The sequence below is a fragment of the Homo sapiens genome, chromosome 19, assembly GCF_000001405.40.
Source record: "Homo sapiens chromosome 19, GRCh38.p14 Primary Assembly".
NCBI classification, from domain to species: Eukaryota; Metazoa; Chordata; class Mammalia; order Primates; family Hominidae; genus Homo; species Homo sapiens.
The window spans coordinates 46,219,316-46,234,324 of NC_000019.10; the positions used below are offsets into that span (position 1 = coordinate 46,219,316).

The following is a 15,009-nucleotide window of genomic DNA, read 5'->3' on the forward strand; positions in this document are numbered from 1 at the left end:
TAGAAAATCTTTGGCTTTGCTTTCAGCTTTTGGCTCGGAGGAGGCCAAAGTGCACCTTTCTTCGGTCGTCCCAAATCCAGGTTCATCTGACACCAGCCGCCTCCACCATGCCGCTGAAGTTTGATCCCAATGAGATCAAAGTCATATGCCTCAGGTGCACTGGGGGTGAAGTCGGTGCCACTTCTGCGCTGGCCCCCAAGATTAGCCCCCTGGGTCTGTCTCCAAAAAAGGTTGGTAATGACATTGACAAGGCAATAGGTGACTGGAAGGGCCGTAGGATTACAGTAAAACTGAACATTCAAAACAGACAGGCCCATATTGAGGTGGCACCTTCTGCCTCTGCCCTGATCATCAAAGCCCTCAAGGAACCACCAAGAGACAGAAAGAAACAGAAAAACATTAAACGCAGTAGGAATATCACTTTTCATGAGGTCGTTGACATTGCTCGACAGATGCGGCACCAATCTTTAGCCAGATAACTCTCTGGAACCATTAAAGAGATCCAGGGGACTGCCCAGTCTGTGGGCTGTGATGTTGATGGCCGCCACCCTCATGACATCATATATGACATCAACAGTGGTGCTGTGGAATGCCCAGCTAGTTAAGAAGCACAAAGGAAAATATTTCAATAAAGGATCATTTGGCAACTGGAAAAAAAAAAAGAAGAAAATCTTTGGTTTCATCTTGAGGGAAAGGCAAAAGACACTGCCAGCCACTTCCCCAACACTGTCTCTGTAGATCACGTCACTACTGTGAAACCTAAAGAACTGGCCTTTGAGGGATTTTTCAGATTTAGCACTTCAGCAGACTCAGGGCTGTCGCATGGTCCTGAGGCTCCTTGAGTATTGCTCCTGCCTGTTGGGCTTGTTCCACCCACTCGGCCTGGCTGCACTCAGACCACACTACCACGTCAGATCCCACACCCACCACAGGCAAGCCGGGCATGGAGTGGTGAGCGGTGTGTCAGCAAGCGAGCATGAGGTCTGGCCACTGTGCACAGCCAAGCACTCTGGCTGCTTTGGTGGAGTGGGCAGCTCCATGAGCTGGCATAGATGCCATCTCCATGCAAGGCCGTGGCTGGCCCAGATGCAGGTGCCTGCAGCAGAAGCTGCATGTGGTACATCTGGACAAGGGGAACATGGCAGTGCCTGGAAGCTTGGAGACACCAAGAACCACAGAGCCCCAAAGAGGGTGTCACAGCCTAGCTTGACAAACCCCTAGGTCTCCAGTCCTCAAAAAGCTGCAGCTTTTCTCTGCTTCTTGTTACTGGTAATGTGCAGAGTGGGAGGTCATGTTTCAGCCCTGTTCGTGTTACAGTTCTTTCAGGGGCTGGGACCTAAGTTCTTTTTGCAGGTAGCAGGGACCAGCCTATGTGCGTGAAGTGTGCAGGTGGAACACAGAGCACTCCACCCACCCAGGTGGATATCAGAGGATGGGCGTTCAGGCACTAGTGAGGCCCAACCCTCTCCCTCAGTGACATCTGCGTTCCTAATATTCTTTTTGAACATCTGAAATTCCACCAAATTCCTGCCTGTCATCTGGGAGAGACTCCTTGAGGCCAGGTGGAAATCACACCCAGGTGTCACCAGGATAATGATTCAATCTCTTCTGCACTTATTCCAGAGGGCAAGCCCACGACAGGATGAAATCCCAATGCTCTCCTGTGTGCCACGTTCCAGAAGCTCAGGTTCCCCAGCAGCACCTGGGGTTGTGGGAAAGTCTTTCCTGAGGCCAGCCTGGGGCATCTGGGATCAGGGGCTGCTTGCCTTTCTGGAGGGGCTCAGCTCAGGACTGAGGGGGATTCTGGGCTGGAACAGGAGTGCCTGAGTCCCGTCCAGATGGTGTCTATGAGCTGCAGGGGGCCCTCATGCCAGGTTCTTTCTTACATAGAGGAAACTAGGGTGACAAAATGTGACCAATGGGAGTTGGAGTTTACTCTTATTTCCAAGGAAGCCATGAGAGTCCTGTGACCCTGGAAAGAGATGGGGTCCCCAATAACTAGGGACATGGCAGTGAGTGGTGCAGCCCGGCTTCCTGTCCTCAAAGAGTTTCAGGCCCACTGTCCCTGGACAGTGACAACCCAGAGTGGGCAGCTCTGGGATGGGGGACAGACACAGGCTGCTTCTTTGGGAATTTTGATATGGGGTTTTAGTGGCCCCTGCTGCTTGCTGGGAAAATTCCCCACCTTGGAATTGTAATCGATTTCAGGAGAAATGACACACAGTTGCTCATGGATATAAAATAAATTTTATAACCAAAATAGAACCCAGTGTCAGCACTCCCCAAGAAGAAGGATTCAGGCTTGGTCCAGTGTGAAGCAAGTGGGCACTTAGGCAGGTGGCTTTGCCTATTTTTTGTGCATGGGCCCATGGTGAGGGTTGCTGCATGTGGGCTGGGTTTTGAGGGGTTCGAATGTCTTTCTGCTGTGCAGAGAGGGAGCACATGCTCTGCCCAGATGTGCAGTGGATGTGACTAAGGACTGGAAAGCTGATAATCTCCAAAACTGAATGTTCTTGCCATACAGGGAGATGAAAGGGCTGCTAGAAAATAGCTTATCTAACCCTTTGAGAAAATGTAAAGAAAAGGTTCCAACCCAGGTGTGTGTGACCGCAAAGTCTCAGGATTGCTGAGACAGGGGCTTTTGCATCCACGGAGCCCCGGGTTGGTCCCGCTGCCCTCCCTCCCACTCAGCCTGTGACTCCCTGGCTCTGTCATCATCTCCCTCTGCTGATTTCTCTTCCCAGCCTGACTCAGCTGCCCTGAGAGATCAGGACCAAGGCCAAGGACGGCCAGCTGGGCTCCTCCCTCCCCAGAGACGCCAACCCAACCCTGCCCTGAGGAATGTGCTTCTCCTTGGCACTGGCTGGTCTCCAGACCTAAATTCAACCCTCTTTTTAGCAGGCTGAATGCCAAGCCCAATCTCAGCGCCCCCAGGAAGGACCTAGGACTGAGGCTGTGAGCTCTCAACTTGTTTTTTTGGGGCAACAGGCCAGGGCAGCTAGCCAGTGATTTTAGGAAAGACGAGGTGAACCTGTGCTCAGAGGATTTTTTCCTCCCAGTGTTTAGTAACTGTTTGGCTGTGACTCACTAGGAAAAGCTCATATCACATTATTTATGGCTTACACACAGCCCAAAAGAAAGTTTAATTAAACAGACGAATAAGATACTGTAGCGTGCACATTCCTCTATTCTTTACTGATGCTAGTTTAATATCTAAGATACCCATGGTGACAAATAAATTGGTTCACAACCTGAAGAAGTGTCACAATCCCCATGTTGGAGATCACTGCTCTACCCTGCAGCTGCAGGACAGGGGAGGCCAGAAGTGAGAGTGAGAAATGGGGTCGGGGATGTGAGTGCTTATCTCATCCACCCATGAGAGCGAGTGGGCCTGCAGGACTCTGGAAATTGCATGAGTATTTCTGCTCCATCAGCCTCCTGCCTGGTCTCCTGCTCCCATCTCAATCCTCCCAACCAGCCTCCTCCCAACAGAAGGACACACGGACTTTCCTGAATCACAATCTGATCACTTATATTTCCTGCTTAGGGCCTGCCTGTAGCTCGGGTGCACTGAGAAGAAAGACCATTTCTCACCGAGGCTCATAAGGGGAGGTGGACAGGGGAAGCGATGGGTATGGTGGGAGCTTCCATGGCCTCCTTGGACTCCAGATCCTTTCAGCACCTCCATGTGTTCAGCAGCCAGGAAGTTCAATTCTTCTTGTTCAGGAGTTTTTAGGCTGGGCATGGTGGCTCACACCTGTAATCCCAGCACGTTGGGAGGCTAAGGCGGGTGGATCACCTGAGGTCAAGAGTTCAAGACCACCCTGGCCATCATGGGGAAACCTCATCTCTACTAAAAAATACAAAAATTAGCCGGGCGTGGTGGCAGGCACCTGTAATCCCAGCTACTCGGGAGGCTCAGGCAGGGAGAATTGCTTGAACCTGGGAGGGGGAGGTTGCAGTGAGCCAAGATCGTGCCACTGCACTCCAGACTGGGTGACAGAGCAAAACTCTGTCTCAAAAAAAAAAAAGTTTTTATACTTTGGTCTTTATCGCCTCCCCATCATCACCTTTCTTGGAGGTTAGTGGGTGACACCGAAGGTTCCTTCCCTCTAATCCTCAGATCTTTTGGTCTTTCTTCTGGTGACTGCCGTGATGCTGAGGCTACCTGGAGACCCTACCCTAAGTCATATTTTTAGCATGAGCTAATGCTGTGTGATCTGAAAGAGGCTCATTAGGAATAACAAAAGACACTCCTGTCACTCAGGATGTTCCAAGTTCAGCATCATAATAGGAAGAGGGCCAAAGAACACACATTTTCATATTACAGCACACCTGGTAAGCCATGGGTTCATCAGACTGGACCCCCCTTACTCTGCCAAATTTGCAGCACTCATGAGTTACCAATCCCAAGGGAGGACTCCCACTGCAGGGAGGATGGCAAAGGTCACCACTGCGCTAACCACCCGGAATAGGGGTCTGAACACTTCAGCCACCGCATCTTGGGCTGCACTCTGACTACACTGAGCGTGGTGAACAGAACACCCACAGCCACAGCCAGTTCGACAAAGCAGGTTAATTACTTACAGACAGGCAGCGAGGGACAGCGGAAGCCTAGGCTGCATGACTCACTGGTCCCCCGAGGCTCAGGAGCACGGCCCAGGGCAGATAGAGTCTCCCGTGCTTGCCCCACTTGCACCACAGCTGAGGACTCAGCAGTGAGCTCTGGGTTTTATATGTGGTGGACACGTCCTGGGCTAGTGTTACAGGAGACCCCCTCTGGAAGGGATGGGAATGAGGCCAGGGCTGTCCTGGGCAGTTTCTCTGTAGCTCAAGTTGTTGCATTCTCTGGGAAGAATAGAAACGAAGCCCGGGCACTTTCAGGCAGTTCCTCCTTTCTTAGGATGGTGCATTCTGATATAGTTTGGCTCTGTGTCCCCACACAACTCTTCTCTCAAATTGTAATCCCCATGTGTCAGGGAAGGGGCCTGGTGGGAGGTGACTGGATCATGGGGGCAATTTCTCTATTGTTGTTCTCATGATAGTGGTCGAGTTCTCACGAGATCTGATGGCTTAAAAGTGTGTGGCAGTTCCCTGCTCCCTCTCTTTCTCTCCTGCCATCATGGAAGATGTGCCTTGCCTTCCCTTCACCCTCTGCCATGATTGTACATTTCCTGAGACCTCCTTAGTCATGAAAAACTGAATCAATTAAACCTCATTCCTCTATAAATTATCCAGTTTCAGGTCATTCTTTATAGCACCATGAAAATGAACTAACACGCACTTCTAGTGCATTCTACAGTGATTCTGGGAACTCTGGGCAAGAAGAAAGGTGGGAAAGCCAGAGCCATCCAATGATTGTCTCCTGGTGCCCTCCTCCAGGAAGCCATTTCTGGTGCCCTGGGCACTGCTCCCAGCCTTGCTCATCCTGGGTCATCACTGTTTGGAGAGGTGTCTCTGTCCTCCCTGGACTATGAAAACCAGGAGGGCAGGACCTGGAACTAAGTCACAACTGTGGCCATAGAATCCACTAGCACAGAGGAAGTGCACAGGGTGTATTAAATGAATGAATGAAAAAAGTGAATTGACGATGAAAGCCCTATGTTCAGGGTGTGTCTCACTCAACCTGTCTGTCCTGTCATGGTGACTTGGTGAGACTTGTTGCCTGCAGGTCTCCAAACCTCCCTGTCTTCCAGACAGCCCCAGGGCTTCCCTGTGAAGCTGCTTCTCAGCTGTGCCCTACAGAGTCAGATGCATGGGGGACGCTCTAAAGCTGGACTCCACAGCCCACCTTTTCCCCGCTTAGCCCTCCTAACACAGGACACAGCCACATGCAGGGCTGCAGGAGCCCAGGCTGCCAACAGCATCAACCACCTGCTAGGAGAGGGTAGGGACGGGTGAGACTCAGAGCCTTCCAGCTTACTACGTTTATAAATCCCTTGGCTGAAACTACTAGGAAAAATAGTTGTGACTTCATCACGTGGGTTACACACAATCACAAAGAAAAGGGAAAGCAAAAATTGACAAGAGTGTGTCAGCCTCCCTAAAGGGAACATCTCCAAATTTGGATCCCAAATGACTTTTTTCAGAGGAACCCTCCTTCCTTCTCCTCAGAACAAGCACATTCATTCACACAGGAAGGAGATTAAATTCCTGTAGAGCAGAGGAGGAAAAACCTTTTCACAGAGGAGGTTCTGTGGTCTTAACTGTCCTGGGGTCATAATGTATTTGAGAGTCTGGAAATAATTATAAAGTTTTTTGCTCAGATTATCACGGACAATTGCGAAATATTGTGAAATGCCACTGAATTGCACACTTGAAAACACACACACATACACACATGAAAAGTTAAGCAAAAATGTGTATTTAACTGGTGGAGAGTGTTGGCGGGAGAACAAAAAGAACTGTCCAGACCTCTGGTGCTGAATGGTCTGCTCTGGTTCAACTAAAAATAAAGCCTTCGATCAATTTGGTCACTGAAAAGACTTGTTCACTTCCTGCTGATGATCAGAAACCACAGCAGAGACCTGATTTTTGGGTGTCTGCCTTAACAGAAAAGCCACAAAGAACTGTGGTGAGGGCATGGCAGATGACAACCACAGTGCTATCAGGAGGTAACAGGTGACTGACCTCAGCCTTGATGCTCGAGAAGATTTCAGAGGATGGGTGACATTTAAGTAAAAGAAGAAGAATGAAGAAGGATGGGGTATTGGGTGCAGAAGCAGGGGTGACGCTGTGGCTCTCCCAATTAGCTGTGTTAAGCCAAGGGCAGTGAGAACCAGGGAGGGTGTGCAGGATGTGGGTGTGGACACTTGGAATCCAGCCTACATCTTCAGGACCTTCTGCCTGCAGAGGCTGGAAGCTTCACACTTTCCTTCCCAGAGGACCTTGTAGCTGGGGTTCTGGATGCATTTGAATCTCTGGGCAGCGCAGCCATTGTGTCTCTCGGTGTAGCCACAGGAACATCTCATGTCCAGGTGATGGCCCTGAATTGCTGAGACACTATTCTAGCCACAGAACTGGCATCCGGATCTTAATTGTTCTAGCTTCATTCCTGGTGGCAAACCCTGGGGCCTCTCCTCCAGCCCCTCCTATGACATGGAGGCTCTTAATTCACTGGTCTGCATCATACGAAGGATCCTGCCAGAGCAGGGATCAGGCTTTGGTCAACAGAAACCCCCCTTGCAGGGAGCTTCTGAAATCCCAACATTGTGTTTGGAGAAAATGACTCACACAGACCCGTCCTTGTCAGCCAGCAGCAGAGGGGCCTCCGGCCTGGGGAAACCCGGCCTTCCTTCTACATACCTGCACACCTGAAATTCCACCTCATTCCCACCTGTTTCCTAGCAGGGCTTCCCTGAGGGCAGATGGAAAGGCCACTCCAAAGCTGCCAGGAGGGAGATTCCTATTTTTTCCTGGCGTAAAAGGGCAAGCAGTGGGGGAGCTGCTGACAGCGGGAAATGCCAGCGTCCTCCGGGGTTTCACATTCCAGAAGCCAAGATCTGCCAGCCCTGCCCGGGAGCCCTGGGAACATCAGACCTGGGTGTCTTCCAGGAGTGTCTGTGAACAGAGCCTTCCTGCCCTTCCCAGAGGGGCCAGGCCTAGGGAGTTTGGCAGCCCTTGGGTAGGAGGTCAGGAGACCTGGGTCCTGGCCCAGCCTGTGTCACTGACAACCAGCAGCAGAACCTCAGCCCGTGTCCTGCTTGGATCCAGGAAGTGGGTGAGAGAATGATGGTGATGGTCGTTTGAGGTCAGGGTTTACATTTACTGTCCAGACACCTGGGATCTTCTCCAGACACTTGAGGACAGGCTTCCACTGGGAAATCCTGGTCCCACCTCACACATCTGGGTCCCCAGGCAGAAGACAGACCCATGCCCAGACGTGGACGCTCCAGAGTGGGCATGTTAGGAAGGGGGACTCCGAGGGATTGGTGGCGGGATTGGACATGGCTGTGTGCACAGACTCTTCTGACACCTTAGGAAGGTGCAGGGACAGGGTTTGAACGCAGGGCTGACTGACCCTAAAGCCTCCTCATGTCTAATTGGGGGCTCTTAGTGTCCAGGGAGCCCTGGACGGGTGCCCACTGGCCTCACACTGTCCCAGCCTCCGAGGCCTCCATGATCTGCTAAAATCTCCCTCTACCTTCCAGATGCTGCATTGACTCAGCTGCTCTGAGAGGCCAGGAAGGAGCAGCTGGACTCCTCCCTCCTCAGAGGTGCCCACCTTGCCCCTGCCCTGGGGAAGGTGCTCCACTCTCTCACTCTGGCTCATATGCAGGCAGCCTTGCCTCTTCTTGGTAGAGACAGTAAGACCAGTGCAGGGCTCCACTGCAGCCTCCCAGAAAATGCCTGGAACCAAGGACCTGAGAACTCTACCCCTTTATGGAAGACATCAAAGGGGAGACATGTCAGTGGCTCTTAGAGAAGAAGGAGATGATCCTGGAGGCTTCTGTGCTCCCAAGTGTCCTCACCATTTGGCTGTGACTCCCTCCAGAAACTAGATATCTAGTTCTAGATATGTGCTATGCTATCATATAATAATATCATACGATAGAACAATATAATAATATTCTATCATTACTTGGAATATACACAGTCCCAATAAGAGGGTCCTAAACAGGCTGGGCGCAGTGGCTCACACCTGTAATCACAGCACTTTGGGAGGCTGAGGTGAGCAGATCACTTGCGGTCAGAAGTTCAAGACCAGCCTGGCAAATACGGTAAAACCCCATCTCTATGGAGAATACACAAATTAGCCGGGTGTGTTGGCGGGCATCTGTAATCCCAGCTACTCAGAGACTGAGGCAGGAGAATCACTTGAACCTGGCAGGCAGAGGTTGCAGTGAGCCAAGATCGTGCAACTGCACTCCAGCCTGGGCAACTGAACAAGGCTTCATCTCAAAAAAATAAATAATTTTTTTTAAAGTGTCATAAACAGTTGAGCACAGCATTCTGTTGAATGCACACTGTCCCATTTTCTAACCCATTTCTTCACTTAAAAATAACATTGTTTATGCCCAAGTAAATTGATTTTCCATGCTACTAGCACATCCTAATCTGTGTCCTAGAAAACACTGCTGTACCCCACAGCAGCAAGGAACAGAGGCCAAGGGAGCAGACAGGGAGATGGTGCTGGAAGCAGGGTCTGCTCTGTCGAGGGAGAAGGTGGGTGCTGAGCACTCTGGTATTTATTGAAGTCATTTCTCTGCAGCCTCTTCCTGTGTCTCCTGCCTCCAGAGAGAAGCCCCTATCCGTGCTCCCCAGGAACACAGATGCAGGATCTTCCACACACACAAATCTAACCACATCCATGCCCTGCTAGGAGCCAGCCATGGTGCCTAGAGGGTGACAGGTCACCTTGCCTGGCCCGGAGGAGAACGGCTTGTCCATGCCATGTGTGGCCTGTGAGCTTGAGCGGAGGAATTCCTGCAGAAGCTGGGCAGGGGTAGGGGGGCACAGAACTGACCCAAAACAGCTCCTTCCCCTCTGTCCTCACATCCTGACCCCAAGATGGCTCTTCTCAGGGAAAATCACAACCCAACCCTCTGAAAAAGCACATTAAGGAAAAACACCTTTGAGAATCTCAGGGGGGGATGTGGAATTTCTCCACCAGAACTTCACAGTGATAATGACACCAAACACAAGAACGACAATAACCAAAATCAGGAGTTTTATTCTCCTACCTTCTCTCTCTCTCTCTCTCCTCTCACTGTCATGAACGTCACGAAGACACTGACTTTGCGTTTTCTACTCAGCACTGCATCACTGGTGTCTGACACGAAGCCTGGGACATGTAGGCTCCCAAGTGGACCTGTCCTGGGTAAATGACCATTAATGAGACAGAGAAGGAGATGAAGAGCCCCCAGAGGAGTGTTGAGTCCCAGGGGTCCCGCCAGCTCCACTCCCACCTTCCAAACCTGTGAAAGTCAGGTGCCTGAGTCACACAGTCTCTCCCACCTGAATGCCATGAGCTGCAGGTGACTGAGAAGTTACTGGATTCTTGACCATGTGTTTCGGTTGTGAGGTTGGGACCTAATGGGACCCTTTGAAATGATGTCATGGGTTAGCAATGTCCCAAGGAAACTGAGGAAAGTCATAGCTCAGTAGGATCCTGTGGAATCGCTGTGTGGACATGTGAGTGTCGGAGAGTGTTAATGCCAGGAGCATCCTGAACCTTCCTATTTTCCAGAGGACTCAGTGTGGGGGACGATTGGGGCACATAGCACAGAGAAGGTGGAGGGTGTACCGCTTCTCTCCTGATTACAAAGGTGAGATCAAAGCTACAATGACACGTACCCTGCCTGGCACCTCTCCTGCCCAAGGACCCAGCCTGTCTCTGCAGGACTTGCAGGAGGGCAGGAAATGCCATGACATCACCAGCTCCACTAGAAATATGGGATAAAAGGAGTGGCTGAGATCTGCTGATCCCCTCCTCACTCCACTGCAACCACCCAGAGCCATGGCTCCCCGAGGCTGCATCGTAGGTAAGGAGGACAGGACCCCATTCCCACCTGAGCCCATCTCCAATCTCAGCCACCACCAGGGCTCTCTCCCTACCCCAAACTACACCTCATCCCTGTTCCCATGCCCAGCCAAATCTCCAGGCGTGAATTGCTCACAGCAATTCCCCATCCATAGTGCCCAGATCAGCCCCATCCACAGCCCTGTTTCAGTCCCTGAGCTGCTCAAAGCCATACCGAGCCCTGGTTCCACCCAGTCTTCTTCTAAATGTCAGTGCCAGTCATATCTGTGGCTGTCCACTCACCCCATCTTCCCTTTCCCTTTCCCACAGCTGTCTTTGCCATTTTCTGCATCTCCAGGCTCCTCTGCTCACACGGAGCCCCAGGTGAGCCCAGGAGTGTTTGGGAAGCTGGAGGAGGGGTACACCTTCCAGGGGACCCCAGGCTGGGACCCACCTGCCACTACCTCCTGGATCTCACCAGCTCTGTCTCCTCCAGTGGCCCCCATGACTCCTTACCTGATGCTGTGCCAGCCACACAAGAGATGTGGGGACAAGTTCTACGACCCCCTGCAGCACTGTTGCTATGATGATGCCGTCGTGCCCTTGGCCAGGACCCAGACGTGTGGAAACTGCACCTTCAGAGTCTGCTTTGAGCAGTGCTGCCCCTGGACCTTCATGGTGAAGCTGATAAACCAGAACTGCGACTCAGCCCGGACCTCGGATGACAGGCTTTGTCGCAGGTGAGTCCTGTCCCCTCCGTGGGATTGTGGGTGCAGGGTAGCTGCATGCCTGTTCTGCCCTGGGTGGAGCCCCCATTCTCCTTGTCTCCCTGTCTCTGCCCCCTGCTTCTATTCAATCCACCTCTCCCTTTCCCTACACCTGTGTCTCCATCCATTTTTATTTCCCTCTCAGAATCTCACTCTCTCTACCCCGCTGTCCTCTCCTCCTGGCTCTCCTGTCCTCATTTCTGCCCATGTTCAGTCTCGCCCCCATCTCTGGCCATCTCTGTCCCGCTCAGTGTCTCTCTCTGTCACTATCTCCAGTGTCAGCTAATGGAACATCAGGGGAACGATGACTCCTGGATTCTCCTTCCTGGGTGGGCCTGGAGAAAGAGGCTGGTGTTACCTGAGATCTGGGATGCTGAGTGGCTGTTTGGGGGCCAGAGAAACACACACTCAACTGCCCACTTCATTCTGTGACCTGTCTGAGGCCCACCCTGCAGCTGCCCTGAGGAGGCCCACAGGTCCCCTTCTAGAATTCTGGACAGCATGAGATGCGTGTGCTGATGGGGGCCCAGGGACTCTGAACCCTCCTGATGACCCCTATGGCCAACATCAACCCGGCACCACCCCAAGGCTGGCTGGGGAACCCTTCACCCTTCTGTGAGATTTTCCATCATCTCAAGTTCTCTTCTATCCAGGAGCAAAGCACAGGATCATAATAAATTTATGTACTTTATAAATGAATGCTGTAGAATTCATGAATTAGAGAGCTTGGACTGTTGAAAGGGGTCACAGAGGGTGACGTGGGGCCCCTTCTCTCTGTCACCCTGAGGCATCTGGGCCTTTCCATTTGTTCTGTTCGTGCACACACTTATTTTCTCTTTTTCCATTTATTTTTAAATTTATTATTTTGTTATTTGTGCTCGGTGACTAGGACCCTGGCCGCACCTGGGACAGGGGCCACCCTCCTACACCAGCCTCCACCACCCCATGGCTCCCTGAACCCAGTCACAACATCGGGAGCAGCCCAGGTGGGGTGGGGAGGAGGTGGGGATCGCGAGAGGGCTTCGGAGAGGCACTCCCTCTCCCACCAGTTCTGGGACAGAACAGGACCCGGCTGTTTGTTCTTGATGTACGTTAAGGAGATGCAGACAGACTGGGAAAGAACGGAGGTTCTTTCTCCAACTGGCTATGGGGAGAAGGTCAGAGTAGCTTACCAGACCAACTCAAAGCTACAAACTTCTTTTTCTAGTGCTTATATGCATTCTAAGCTCCACGCCTATGTGCGGAGTGCACCTGCAAGACAGCGTGTTTCATTCTTATCAATATCTAATCTTTAACTAGTGTCCAGGGTCTGGAAAGCTTTCTCCAGAGTCTTGGAAAGTTTCTTAATCTTAAATGGACCCCAGTATGAGGAATATGTGGAAGAATGCTATTATTATTTGATCAGATTTTAGGGTCTGAGAAAACCCAGCTGGGGTTTTAATGGGCTTGTTTTCTCATTCCCGCCCTCATCCCCAGGCACTAGTTTATCCAGTTCTATAATGTTTAAGGTATGCATTCATCAAAAATAAAGTTTAGTGGAAACTGACTCTTCTGGTCGCTAACAGAAACCTGATCTGCCACACACCCATCCCAGGCACGCGTCCCCTGGGATCGTGGAAAACCCACTGGGCAGGTCCAACGCCCAGAGATGCCACACTTAGTCTGACTTTGGGCCAAAGCTGGAGCCTGAGAGGGAGTGGGTGGGGCGGGGTGTGGAGGATGTGGGCTATGGAGGAGCCCTCGGGTTTGGAAGGAGGAAGCAAAGGCTGGCCAAGGCACCTGAAGCACATTCTTCAGGCCCTGTGCCAGGGACAAACCCTCGTGGCCAGTGCTGATGTGGAATAGATCGCAGGGAGGGGGCCACGCTGCTGCTTACCCAACCCAGAAGCAGGTTCCTTAGGGAGCGTTCAGCCCTAGGGTCTCCACCAACCTGGATTCCCCAAAGTCAAAGAAGCCACCACCTTTCTGGGTCCTGTTTCTCAGGGCCAGGGGGTCTGCACAGGGCCTGCGTCCCTGGGCCTCAGTCATCCGAGGCCAACCCAGGCTCCCGGACTGCCCGATGGCTTCCCTGGGCAGATTCTGACTCAAAGGGTTCCATCATCGCCCCACAGTTGGCAGCCTCGCCTCAGTGGCCCCAGACGGGCCCGGTGGCCAGGTGTCTGCACGTGCGGGAACTCTGGACCCGGCACATCACCATGGCAGCAATCTGGCATCACAGGGCAAATGCCCTGTCTCACAGGCCTAACCCTAGCTCAGGGCCTATCAGTGGGAGCACACCCAATGCTGGGTGAGCTCTGCCTCCCCATGCTAGGATTCTGCAGGGCGTGAGAGCTGTGCTGGCGCCTAGAAAGCGACAGACCCACCCCACCCACGGGGTGGCTGCTTCCTCATCCTCCACAGTGAGCGTCCTAAACCTTCACCCTGTCCACATGTGACTCTCCTTGCCTGCACTCCCCCCACCACCCCATGAAATGATCTCATTTGGTCATTTAAGTGGAAAACTAAAAAGTTTTAAGTGACTCCGTGAGAGCAGGAGAGAGGCGGGTCTCCCAGCTCAGACCCCGCCCTGGACGCCCCCACTGAAGCCGCACAGCAGGATGTAGGTGCCCAAGGCACCTACACGCGCCGAGAGGCCTCGCTCAGCCCCGCCCTTCTTAAACCTGGAATCCTCAGGTGTCTGGGTCCTGCCCCATACAGGCCCCCTAGACCACTGGTCCAGATCCCCAACCTTCCCCCAACACGAGGTATTGACATCAAAGCATCACCTCATCTGGCACAAGAATCTGAAACACAGACCGCACCTTACACCAATGTAGTGAATCCCTCCTTGGATCTCAGTCCAACAAGCCCAGAGTCGGGGCTCTGGGTTCCCGCCCAAATGCCACGTGTGCGCACAGAAGGCACCTGACGTCCCTTCTAAGGGACAGGAATCTCAGGCATCCCAGAATCACTAGGTCTGATTTAAATAGCGTCAAATAAATTGGAAAAGAATGAAAGTGCTATAAAGTTCGGCTGAAATTTTCAGAGGTTTTATTGGTTGTATCTGGTGGAGAGAGTGGGCAAGTCTTCTCTGAACATCCATGAGGACGAAGAACAGTCACTGAGGTGACGGTACCAAGTCACCGGCCACCTCCCAGGGATCCTCTCATCCGGTCCTCACAGCAGCGCTGCATGGTCGGACCTCATCACCCACATTCCACCAAGAGGAAGCTGAAGCCCGGGGCCTTCATCCACTCATGTCCTCCAGACCCCTGGCACCCATCCTGGGCCCCACCCCATCATCCAGGCCTTGGGCCTTCGACCTGGGGAGAGTCCCTGTCTCCTCCATGAGCCGCCCTGGGCCTGAAGAGGTATCCAATAAACAAGAAAGCAGAACACAAAGAGCTGTGATGGAGTGGATCTTATGTAGTAAGAATAAACTTATTTTGAGAAATTTCTGGGTCATGTATTTACCCACAGAAAAACAGAAGCAAACACACACACACACACACGCACACACACACACACACACACCACACAGGCTGTCACGTGTCCTAAGCACAAAGTGCCTTGAGCAAGGCCATTGCTGGCCCCACACTTATCCTGACTGTGATCTTGCTGTGATCAGCACATCCCATCAGTGTGGCAACAGGTGTGGCCAGAGTGGGAACCAGGCCTTTTCTTCAGATTTGCTCTTTGTTCCTGAATAGCCACCGTCAGAACAGACACCCTCCTAGAAGTCACTTGATTAAAAATTTCCTTTTGGATATTTAGGTTGATGTTTTATCCATCGGTTAAAGT

The 15,009-nt window shown here is 52.1% G+C and overlaps 1 protein-coding gene and 1 pseudogene across 1 annotated transcript, besides 2 other annotated features; both read left to right on the forward strand.

Annotated features, from left to right (window-relative positions):
• RPL12P41 (ribosomal protein L12 pseudogene 41) lies at positions 20–651 on the forward strand (annotated as a pseudogene).
• Positions 6,283–6,483: a silencer, noted in NCBI's record as "peak3520 fragment used in MPRA reporter construct". NCBI's record gives its function as "represses an SCP1 promoter by STARR-seq MPRAs in K562 erythroleukemia cells {active_cell/tissue: K562}" and the evidence as "EXISTENCE:reporter gene assay evidence [ECO:0000049][PMID:32103011]".
• Positions 9,775–10,974: an enhancer, noted in NCBI's record as "CDK7 strongly-dependent group 2 enhancer chr19:46732347-46733546 (GRCh37/hg19 assembly coordinates)". NCBI's record gives its function as "activates an origin of replication core promoter dependent on BRD2, BRD4, P300/CBP, MED14 and CDK7 cofactors, with strong dependence on CDK7, by STARR-seq in HCT116 cells {active_cell/tissue: HCT116}" and the evidence as "EXISTENCE:reporter gene assay evidence [ECO:0000049][PMID:35650434]".
• On the forward strand, positions 10,427–11,928 carry IGFL1 (IGF like family member 1). The gene is made up of 4 exons (NM_198541.2): positions 10,427–10,484; positions 10,793–10,846; positions 10,959–11,202; positions 11,506–11,928. Exons 1-4 carry the CDS (start codon positions 10,460–10,462, stop codon positions 11,513–11,515), a joined length of 333 nt encoding a protein of 110 aa, NP_940943.1. The 5' UTR covers positions 10,427–10,459; the 3' UTR covers positions 11,516–11,928.
• The last annotated feature ends 3,081 nt before the right edge of the window (positions 11,929–15,009 follow it).